This window comes from Homo sapiens, chromosome 3, assembly GCF_000001405.40.
Source record: "Homo sapiens chromosome 3, GRCh38.p14 Primary Assembly".
Taxonomy (NCBI): Eukaryota; Metazoa; Chordata; class Mammalia; order Primates; family Hominidae; genus Homo; species Homo sapiens.
In genome coordinates this window covers 120,229,783-120,241,923 of record NC_000003.12, presented here as the reverse complement: position 1 = coordinate 120,241,923, position 12,141 = coordinate 120,229,783, and the positions used below count along the sequence as shown (strand labels likewise).

At 39.1% G+C, this 12,141-nt stretch overlaps 1 protein-coding gene across 6 annotated transcripts in view; it reads left to right on the top strand.

Annotated features, from left to right (window-relative positions):
- Positions 1 to 12,141, top strand: part of GPR156 (G protein-coupled receptor 156) — a 119,745-nt gene that overhangs the window by 43,299 nt on the left and 64,305 nt on the right. The window contains exon 2 of one of the 6 annotated variants that reach the window (XM_047447586.1): positions 8,854 to 8,926. The exons of the other annotated variants lie outside the window; for them this stretch is intronic. The gene's annotated coding sequence lies outside the window, so the exon portion shown is untranslated. The remainder of the gene's footprint in view (positions 1 to 8,853; positions 8,927 to 12,141) is intronic. 6 annotated transcript variants of the gene reach the window in all.

Here is a 12,141-nt window from a genome sequence, read left to right as displayed (position 1 = left end):
AAGATGAGGCTGTAGGAGTAGATGAAGAAGTGGAGAAGACATTTGCCTTATGTTTAAAAACTTCAGTTGATTGTTAAAGAAAGCACAGATCCAGAGCAGATTTTTAATTTTTTGACAATGTTATCTACTGGAGATGAATGCCCCTGAGGACCTGTGTCTTGAGATTTAAGACTGTAGAAGTTGACTTTGATCCTGGGTACAAATGCTAGTGGACATTTACTGGGTGGTAGTGTTTTAGTTGGAATAATTAATATTTTATTAATACTCTTGTTACAAAGTTAACTGTTTTGAGTGTTATGACCCCATCCTATTTTCCCCACAGTCTATTATTTTTACATATAATTTTGCAGAATACAAGGTTTATCAAGTATTTATATATCCTGTTAAAACAGGAACACCTGTAAACAGCATTATACTAGAAACCCTTATATTTCTTTCACTCTATTAAATATTTTGCTGCCTGTTTTGTTTGCAGTGGGAGCATGACTTGGCATAAAGAATAAAATATTAAGAGGTATTGTGAATAAAAACACATTTTACAATTAAGTGGCTTACAAGGTCAGACAAGGAAAGATAAAATAACCCAGTTTCAAAAGTGTTTTATTGAACAATACATTTGTTAAAAGATGCAGCATCACAATCAGATGCTTTATTTCGTTACAATTCTGTGGTCTCTAAATTTGGGACTGTGTGTGTGAGTATTCATGTGTGTGTATATGCAAGAAAGGAGAGGAAGAAAAATATTTTAACACAATAAAAATAATACAAAAATGTTTAAATCCAGTTGCAGATATTGAATTTTTATAAAAATTTCAAAAACCAGTAAAGATAAAGAAAACTTGAACACTATCAACCAACTTGACCCAATTGACATTTATATTACCTTTCACCCAACAACAGCAGAATACATATTCTTTTGAAGTACACATGGAACATTTACCAAGATATATCATATTCTGGGCCATAGAAAAAGTCTCATTAAATTTAAAAGGGTTCAAGCCGGGTGCAGTGGCTCATGCCTGTGATCCCAGCACTTTGGGAAGCTGAGGCGGATAGATCACCAGAGGTCAGCAGTTTGAGACCAGCCTGGCCAACATGGTGAAAACCCATCTCTACTAAAAATACAAAAATTAGATGGGTGTGGTGGCATGCACCTGTAGTCCCAGCTACTTGGGAGGCTGAGGCAGGAGAACCCGGGAGGCAGAGGTTGCAGTGAGCTGAGATCATGCCACTGCACTCCAGCCTGGGTAACAGAGCAAGACTCTGTCTCAAAAAAAAAAAAAATTAAAGGATTCAAGTCATATAAACTATGTTTTCTGACAATGAAATTAAAATGGAAATCAATAACAGAAAGATCTCTGGAAAATCCTGAAATATTTAGAAACTACATAGAACACTTTAATCCATGGTCAAAAAAGAAATCAAAAGGAAAACTAGAAAATATTGACCAGAATTAAAATGAAAATACAACCTAGATTTGTTGGATGCCACTAAAGCAGTATTAGGGGGAAATCTAGAGAACTAAACCCCATATTAGAAAAGAAGAAATGTCTCAAATCCATGACCTCATCTTCCACCTTACAAACAGAAAAAAAGAGCAAATGAGACCCAAAGTAAGTAGAAGAAAGGAAATAATAAAGATCAGGTTAGAAAATAAAATAGGAAACAGAAAACAATAGGAAAAAAAAGTCAGTAAAGCCAAAAGCTATGAAGATAAGTAAAACTGATCAACCTCTAGCCAAAGTGATCAGAAAAAAAAGAAATAAGATACAATTACCCAAATAAGGAATGGGAGAGGTGACATCACTATAGATTCTGTAGATATGACGGATAAGGTAATGTTGTAAACAACTATGGTAGATAGCCTCTAAGATGTTCTTCGATGATTCCCACCTCCTTGTAGTCACACTCCTATGAAGTCCTCTCTCCTTGAGTATGAGGTGAACTTACTAACTTGCTTTTTAGTGAGATGTCGCTTTTGGCATTAGTTCACAAAAACTGTGGCTTCCACCTTAGAGCTCTCTCATTGTCCCACTAACTCCCACTCTGTGGGAGGCCAGCTGTTGTGTTATAAGCTGTCCTGTAAAGAGGCCCCCATTGGCAAGGAACTGATGTTTCCAGCCTGCAGCCAGCAAGTACCTGGGGCTTGCTAACAGCCATGTCAGTGAACTTTGAAACAGGTGACACCTTGACTGTATTGTTGTGACACCTTGACTGTATTCTTATGTGAAAACCTGAGCCACAGGCACCCAACTAAGCTGTGACTTAGAAATATTACCAGTTCAACTTCAAACTCTTCTAAAAAAACTGAAAATAAAGAAGTAATTCCCAACTCATTCTATGAGGGCAGTATTACCCTGATTTCAAAATTGAATAGGAAAAAGAAGAAGGAGAAGGAGAAGAAGGAGAAGGAGAAGGAAGAGGAGGAGGAGAAGGAGAAGGAGGAGGAGGAGGAGGAGGAGAAGAAGGAGAAGGAGAAGAAGAAGAAGAAGAGGAAGAGGAAGAGGAGGAAGAAGAAGAAGAAGAAGGGAGGAGGAAAGCTATAGGCTAATATGTCCTATAAACATAGATTCAAAATTTTAAACAAAATTTTAACAAATTGAGTATCACCAAATGTTAAAAAGAGAATACATCATTGTGACAACGTGAGGTTTATCCCTGGAATGTAAGCTTTGTTTAATATCTAAAGATTGATCAATAACTCATGACATTTACCAACTAAAAAAGAAAACTATATGATCATCTCAGTAGATACAGAAAAATTTTTGACAAACTTCAACATCAATTTCTGATAAAGTCTCAACAAACAGCATAGAACAGAACTTCCTCCCCATTGCGCAGCACAGCTGCTGTGGCAGATTGTGGCCAGACTGCTTCTTTAAGTGGGACCCCGATCCATCCCCCCTCACTGGGCAGGACCTCCTTGTGAGAATTTCAGCAACTCCAGCCAGGGTTTTATGGACAGAACTCTGATCTCTCTGGGACAGAGCCCCTCAGGGGAAGGGTGGCCACAGTCTCTGTGGTTCAGCCAACTTAGCCTTTCCTGCCTGCTGGCTCTGGAGAGTCTGGGCAGTCTGGACAAAAGGGGATCCCCCCAGTGCAGTGCACCCAGTCCCCCAAGGGGCAGCCAGACTGCTTCTTGAGGCAGGTCCCTGATCCCATTCCTCCTGACTGGGTGAGAACTCCCAAAGGGATCCCCAGACACCTCTTACAGGAGTGTTTGGGCCAGCGTCAGTTTGGAGCAGGCAGCCATCTTTGCTGTTTTGCACCCTTTGCTGGTGATAGTGATACCTCCAGGTGCAGAAGGGACCCAGGTGATTAGGGTCTGGGGTGGACCACTAGCAAACCACAGCAGCCCTGCAGAAGAGGAGCCTGACTGTTAAAAGAAAAACAAAGCAGCAACAACAACATAAACAAAAAAGATCCCCAAAAAAACCCATTGAAAGGTCAGCAACCTCAAAGACTGAAGGTAGATAAGCCCACAAAGATAAGAAAGAATCAATGCAAAAATGCTGAAAACTCAAAAAGCCAGAGTGCCTCTTCTCCAAATGATTGTAATACCTCTCCAGCAAGGGCACAGAACTGGGCTGAGACTGAGATGGCTGAATTGACAGAAGTAGCCTTCAGAATGAGGGTAATAACGAACTTTGCTGAGCTAAAGGAACATGTTCTAACCCAATGCAAAGAAGCTAAGAATCATGATAAAACATTACAGGAGCTGATAACCAGAATAGCCAGTTTAGAGAGGAACATAAAACACCTAATGGAGCTGAGAATCACAACGTGAGAACGTCACAATCCAATCACTAGTGTCTATAGCTGAGTAGACCAAGCAGCAGAAAGAATCTCAGAGCTTGAAAACTGTCTTTCTGAAATAAGACAGGCAGACAAGAATAGAGAAAAAAGAATGAAAACAAACAAAACCTCCAAGAAATATGGGATTACGTAAAAAGACCAAACCTACAACTGATTGGAGTACCTGAAAGAGATGGGGAGAATGGAACCAAATTGGAAAACATACTTCATAATGTCATCCAGGAGAACCTCGCCAATCTAGCAAGACAGGCCAACATTCAAATTCAGGAAATGTGGAGAACCCCAGTAAGATACTCCACAAGAAGATCAACCCCAAAACACATAATCATCAGATTACCCAAGGTCAAAATGAAAGAAAAAATGTTAAGGGCAGCCAGAGAGAAAGGCCAGGTCATCTACAAAGGGAAGCCCATCAGACTAACAGTGGACCTCTCAGCAGAAATCCTAGAAGCCAAAGAAACTGGAGGCCAATATTCAACAATTTTTTTATTTTTTGTTTTTTTGAGACTGAGTCTCGCTCTGTCACCCAGGCTGGAGTGCAGTGGCGCGATCTCAGCTCACTGCAAGCTCCGCCTCCCGGGTTCACGCCATTCTCCTGCCTCAGCCTCCCGAATAGCTGGGACTACAGGCGCCCGCCACCGCGCCCAGCTAATTTTTTGTATTTTTAGTAGAGACGGGGTTTCACTGTGTTAGCTAGGATGGTCTCGATCTCCTGACCTCGTGATCTGCCCACCTCGGCCTCCCAAAGTGCTGGGATTACAGGCGTGAGCCACTGCGCCCGGCCTCAACATTCTTAAAGAAAAGAATTTCCAACCCAGAATTTCATATCAGGCCAAATTAAGCTTCATAAGTGAAGAAGAAATAAGATCCTTTTCAGACAAGCAAATGCTGAGGGAATTGTTACAACCAGGACTGCCCTGCAAGTGCTCCTGCAGGAAGCACTAAATATGGAAAGAAAAAACTTACCAGCCACCACAAAAACACACTGAAGTACACAGACCAGTGACACTATGAAGGAACCACATAAGCAAGTTGGCAAAATAAACAGCTAGCGTCATGATGACAGGATCAAATTCACACATAACAACACTAACCTTAAATGTAAATGGGCTAAATGCCCCCATTAAAAGACAGAGAATGGCAAGCTGGCCAAAGAGCAAAGACCCGTCAGCATCAGCAAACACCCAGATGCTGTCTTCCAGAGACCCATCTCAAGTGCAGAGACACACATAGGTTCAAAATAAAGGAATGGAGGAAAATTTACCAAGCAAACGGAAAACAGAAAAAAGCAAGGGTTGCAGTCCTAGTTTCTGACAAAACAGACTTTAAACCAACAAAGATAAAATAGACAAGGGCATTCCATAATGGTAAAAGGCTCAATTCAACAAGTAGCGCTAAGTATCCTAAATACATATGCACCTAATATGGGAACAACCAGACTCATAAAGCAAGTTCTTAGAGCCCTACAAAGAGACTTAGACTCCCACACAATAATAGTGAAAGACTTTAACACTCCACTGACAATATTAGACAGATCATTGAGACAGAAAATTAACAAAGATATTCAGGACCTGAACTAAACTCTAGATTGAATGGACCTGATAGTTATCTACAGAACTCTCCACCCAAAAACAACAGAATATACATTCTTTTCATAGCCACATGGCACTCTAAAATTGATCATATAATCAGAAGTAAAACACTCCTCAGCAAATGCAAAAGAACTGAAATCATAACAAACAGTCTCTCCAACCACAGCACAATCAAATTAGAACTCAAGAATAAGAAATTCACTCAAAACCATACAACTACATGGAAATGAACAACCTGCTCCTGAATGACTCCTGGGTGAATAATGAAATTAAGGCAGAAATCAAGAAGTTCCTTGAAACTAGTGACAACAAAGAGACAGTGTACCAGAATCTCTGGGACACAGCGAAAGCTGTGTTGAGAGAAATTTATAGCACTAAATGCCCACATCAAAAAGCTAGAAAGATCTCAAATCAACAACCTAACATCACAACTAAAAAAACTAGACAACCAAGAGCAAACAAATCCCAAAGCTAGCAGAAGACAAGAAATAACCAAGATTGGAGTGGAACTGAAGGAGATAGAGACACAAAAAAAAATTTCAAAAAACCAACAAATCCAGGAGCTGATTTTTTTTGAAAAAAAAAAAGTTAATAAAATAGACTGTTACCTAAACTAATAAAGAAGAAAGAGAAGAATCAAATAGACACAATGACAAATGATAGGGGGGATATCACCACTGACCTCACAGATACAAACAACCATCAGAGAATGCTATAAACACCTCTATGCACATAAACTAGAAAATCTAGAAGGAATGGGTAAATTCCTGGGCACAAACACTTGCCCAAGACTGAACCAGGAAGAAATTGAATCCCTGAATAGACCAATAATGAGTTCTGAAATTCAGGCAGTAACAAATAGCCTAGCAACCAAAAAAAGCCCAGGAACAGACGAATTTACAGCTAAATTCTACCAGAGGTACAAAGAGGAGCTGGTACCATTTCTTCTGACACTATTTCAAACAATTGAAAAGGAGGGACTCCTCCCTAACTCATTCTATGAGACCAACATCATCCTGATACCAAAACCTGGCAGAGACACAATAAAAAAACAAAACCTCGGACAAATATCCCTGATGAACATCAATACAAAAATCCTCAATAAAATACTGGCAAACCAAATCCAGCAGCACATCAAAAAGCTTATCCACCACGATCAAGTTGACTTCATCCCTGAGATTCAAGGTTGGTTCAACATATGCAAATCAATAAACGTAACTCATCACATAAACCACATGATTATCTCGATAGACACAGAAAAGGCCTTTGATAAAGTTCAACATCTCTTCAATAAACTCTCAATAAACTAAGTATTGAGGAATATACCTAAAAATAACAAGAACCATCTATGACAAACCCACAGCCAGTATCATACTAAGTAGGCAAAAGCTGGAAGCATTCCCCCTGAAAACTGGCACAAGACAAGGATGGCGTCTCTCACCACTTTTATTCAACCTAGTATTGGAAGTTCTGGCCAGGGCAATCAGGCAAGAGAAAGAAATAAAGTGTATCTAAATAGGAAGAGAAGAAGTCAAACTGTCTTTGTTTGCAGATGACATGATCCTATGTCTAGAAAACCCCATCGTCTCAGCCCAAAACCTTCTTAAGCTGATAAGCAACTTCAGCAAAGTCTCAGGATACAAAATCAATGTGCAAAAATTGCTAACATTCCTATAAACCAACAACAGGCAAGCAGAGAGCCAAATCATGAATGAACTCCCATTCACAGTTGCTACAAAGAATAAAATACCTAGGAATACAGCTAACAAGGGAAGTGCAGGGCCTCTTCAAGGAGAACTGCAAACCACTGCTCAAGGAAATCAGAGAGGACACAAGCAAATGGAAAAACATTTCATGCTCATGGATAGGTAGAATCAATATTGTGAAAATGGCCATATGGCCCAAAGAAATTTATAGATTGAATGCTATTCCTATTAAACTACCATTGACATTCTTCACAGAATTAGAAAAAACTATTATAAAATTCATATGGAACCAAAAAACAGCCCCAATAGCCCCAATATCTTTTTGCTTAGGATTCTAAGCAAAAAGAATAAAGCTGGAGGCATCATGCTACCTGACATCAGACTGTAGTACAAGACTACGGTAAACAAAACCTCATGGTACTGGTACAAAAACAGATACATAGACCAATGGAACAGAATAGAGAACTCAGAAATAAGACCACACACCTACAAACATCTGATATTCAACAAATCTGACAAAAATGAGCAATGGGGAAAGGACTCCCTATTTAATAAATGGTGCTGCAAAAACTGGCTAGCCATATGTAGAAAATTGAAAGTGGACCCCTTCCTTACACCGTATACAAAAATTAACTCAAGATGGATTAAAGACTTAAATGTAAAACCCAAAACTGTAAAATCCCTAGACGAAAATCTAGGCAATACCATTCAGGACATAGACATTTCATGACGAAAATGCCAAAAGCAATTGCAACAAAACCAAAAATTGGCAAATGGGGTCTAATTAAAGAGCTTCTGCACAGCAAAAGAAACTGTCATCAGAGTGAACAGACAACCTGCAGAATGGGAGAAAATTTTTGCAATCTATCCATCTGACAAAGGTATAATATCCAGAATCTACAAGGAACTTCAACAAATTTACAAGAAAAAAATAACCCCATTAAAAAGTGGGCAAAGGGCATGAACAGTCACTTCTCAAAAGAAGACATACATGCAGCCAGCAAACATGAAAAAAAGCTCAACATCACAGATCATAAGAGAAATGCAAATCAAAACCACAATAAGAGGTGGGTGGGTCACTTGAGGTCAGGAGTTCAAGACTAGATCTAGAATCAGAAATACCATTTGACCCAGCAGTCTTATTACGGGGTATATACCCAGGAATATAAATCATTCTATTATAAAGATACATGCATGCATAACTTCACTGCAGGACTATTCACAATAACAGAGACATGGAATGAACCCAAATGCCCATCAATGATAGACTGGATAAAGAAAATGTGGTACATATATACCGTGGAATACTATGCAGCCATAAAAAGGAATAAGATCATGTCCTTTGCAGGGACCTGGATGGAGCAAACTAATGCAGGAACAGAAAACCAAACACTGCATGTTCTCACTTATAAGTGGGAGCTGAACTATGAGAACACATAGACACATATGGGGAGAACAACACACACTGGGGCCTGTTGGGGAAGGTTGGGGGAGGGAGAGCATAAGGAAGAACAACTAATGGATGCTGGGCTTAATACCTAGGTGATGGGTTGATCTGTGCAGCAAACCACCTGGCACATGTTTACCTATGTAACAAACCTGCACAGGTACCCTGGAACTTAAAAGTTAAAAAAATTTTAAAAAGAAGAGAACTTCCTCAACCTGATAATGTGCATCTATAAAAAAACCTATACCTAACATCATTTTTAATGGTAAAAGACCGAATCCTTTCCCATTAGGATCAGAAAGAAGACAAGATATCCACTCTCACGACTTCTATTCAACACTGGAGGTTTTAGCCAGTGCAATAAGGTAAGAAAAATAAACAAAAGTCACCTACTTTTTAAAAAAAGTAAGAATGAAAATATTTTTACCCTCAGATGACCTGATCACCTATGTAGAAAATCCAGTGAAACATTTAAAAGGAAGAAACAGGGCAGGCATGGTAGCTCACCCACCCAAAGTGTAATCCCACCACTTTGGGAAGCTGAGACAGAAGGATCACTTGAGGTCAGGAGTTCAAAACCAGCCTGGGCACAGAGTGAGACCTTGTCTCTATAAAAAATTAAAAAATTAGCTGGGCATGGTGGTGCATAGCTTTAGACCCAAACACTTAGAAGGCTGAGGTGGGAGGATTGCTTGAATCCAGGAGCTTGAGGCTACAGTGAGCTAAGATTGTGCCACTGCACTCCAAACTGGGTGACAGAGCCAGACCCTATCTCTAAACAAAACAAAACTACTAGAACTAATACATGAGTTTAGCAAGGTTGCAGGATACAAGATCAATGTACAACACTCAACTGTATTTCCATATACTAACAACAAATAATTGAAAAAGTGAAATTAAAAGCAATACCATTTACAACAGCATCAAATAGATGAAATATTTAGGGATAACCTAACAAACAATGTGAAATGCCTGTACACTGAAAACTTTAAAACATTGCTAAGAGAATTTTTAAAAATCTAAATAAATGGAGATACATTGTGTTGCTGGGTTGGAAGACTCAATATTGTTTAAATGTCAGTTCTTCCCTAGTTGATTTATAGACTTAATCCAATAACAGTCACATTTCCTTTTTTTGTATAAATTGACAAACTGATTATAAAATTCATGTGAAAATATGAAGGACCTAGAATAGACAAAACAACTTTTAAAAAGAATGAAGTTGGAAGACTAGGACCACCTGATTTCAAGACATATTACAAAACTAACAGTAATGCAGACAGTTTGGTACTGGGCAAGGATAGACATATTCATCAACAGAACAGAATAGACTACAGAAATAAATCCACATGTATATGGTCAACTGATTTTCAACAAAGGTACAAAGGCAATTCAGTGGAGAAGGGACAGTCTTTTCAGCAAATACTGCTGGAACAAATGTATATCCATATGCAAAAATGAACTTTGATCTAGCTACATGTTACACCATATTAAGAAATTAACTCAAAATGGATCACAGACCTATTTATAAAACCTAAACCTGTAAAGTTTATAAAAGAAAACATATAAGAAAAATTTTGTGACCTTGGAATAAGCAAATATTTCTTAGGTACAATACCAAAAGCATGGTCCATAAAAGAAAACACTGATGAATTAGACTTTTTAATCATTAAGAACATCTTCTCTTTCAAAGAGAATCTTAAGAGAATGAGAAAAAGCCACAGACTAGAATAAAATATTTGAAATCATATATCTGGCTGGGTGTGGTGGCTCACGCCTGTAATCCCAGCACTTTAGGAGGTTGAGGTGGGTGGATCACCTGAGGTCAGGAGTTCAAGACCAGCCTGGCCAACATGGTGAAACCCCGTCTCTACTAAAAATACAAAAAAAAATGAGCCATGCGTGGTGGAGGCACCTGTAATCGTAGCTACTCAGGAGGCTGAGGCAGGAGAATTGCTTGAACTCAGGAAGCAGAGGTTGCAGTGAGCCAAGATTGCTCCATTGCACTCCAGCCTGGGTGACAACAGTGAAACTCCATCTCAAAAAAAAAAGAAAAAAAAAAACTCTAAAAACGCAATACAGTGGTGCTCCCTTATCTGTGGTTTTGCTTTCCATGGTTTCAGTTACCTGTGGTCAACCATGGCCTGAAAATATTAAATGGAATATTCCAGAAATAACCAATTCATAGGTTTTAAATTGTACACCTTTCTGAGGAGCATGGTGAAATCTCATGCTGTTCCACTCTGGCCCACCCAGGACACAAATACTCCTTTTGTCCAACATATCCATGCCATATACACTACCTGCCTGTTAGTCTCTTAGTAGCCATCTTGATTATCAGATTGCCTGTCATGGTATTGAAGTGCTTTGTGTTCAAGTAACCCTTATTTTGCGGTGGCCCCAAAGTTCAAGAGTAATGATGCTGACATATTGTTATAATTTGGTATGGTTTGGCTCTGTGTCCCCACCCAAATCTCATCTCAAATTGTAATCCTCACATGTCAAGGGAGGGACCTGGTGGAAGGTGATTGGGTGATGGGGGCAGTTTCCCTCATGCTGTTCTCATGATAGTGAGGGAGTTCTCACAAGATCTGGTTGTTTGTTAAGTGTCTGGCCCTTTCCCCTGCACACTCTCTCTCTCCTGCCACCTTGTGAAAGTGTGTCTTGCTTCCCCTTTGCCTTTCGCCATTATTGTAAGTTTCCTGAGGCCTCCCCAGCCATGCAGAACTGTGAGTCAATTAAACCTGTTTTTCTTTATAAATTATTCAGTCTCATGTAGTACCTTTATAGCAGTGTGAGAACAGACTAATACATAATTGTTTTATTATTAGTTATGGTTGCCAATCCCTTACTGTGCCTAATTTATAAATTAAACTTTATTATAGGTATATATGTATAAGAAAAATCAGTATATATGGGGCTCAGTACTATCCATGGTTTCAGGCATCCACTGGGGGTCTTGGAATGTATCCCCCCTCAGATAAGGGGGACTATTGTAATAAGAAAACAATTCAATATTTTAAAATGGGTAAAAGATTTCAACAGATACTTCACCAAAGAAGATATATGGATGACAAATAAGCATATGAAAAGATGTCCAATACCATTACTCATTAAGGAAATGCAAATTAAAACTACATTAAAATACCACTACACACTCATTAGAATGGCTAAAATTAAAAAGACTGAGTAAATCCCATGTTGGCACACACTGCTGAGGAGAACATAATTTGGTCCAACCACTTCACTTTGGAAGGCAGTCTGGGAGATTATTTATTTATTTATTCCATTCCTGGCTGATTTTTTTTATAGAAATAGAGTTTCACTATGTTCCTCAGGTTGGTCTCAAACTCCTGGGCTGAAGCAATCTGCCTGTCTTGGCCTCTCAAAGTGCTAGCATTGCAGGCATGAGCCACCGCGCCCGGCCATGGCAGTTTCTTTAAAAGTTCAGCATATACCTATGATGTGATCTAGCTATGCCACTCTTAGGTTTTTACCCAAGAGAAATGAAACTGCATGTCCATACAAAGACTTGTACGCCAATGTTCATAGCAACTTTCTTTGTAATAGCCAAAAACTG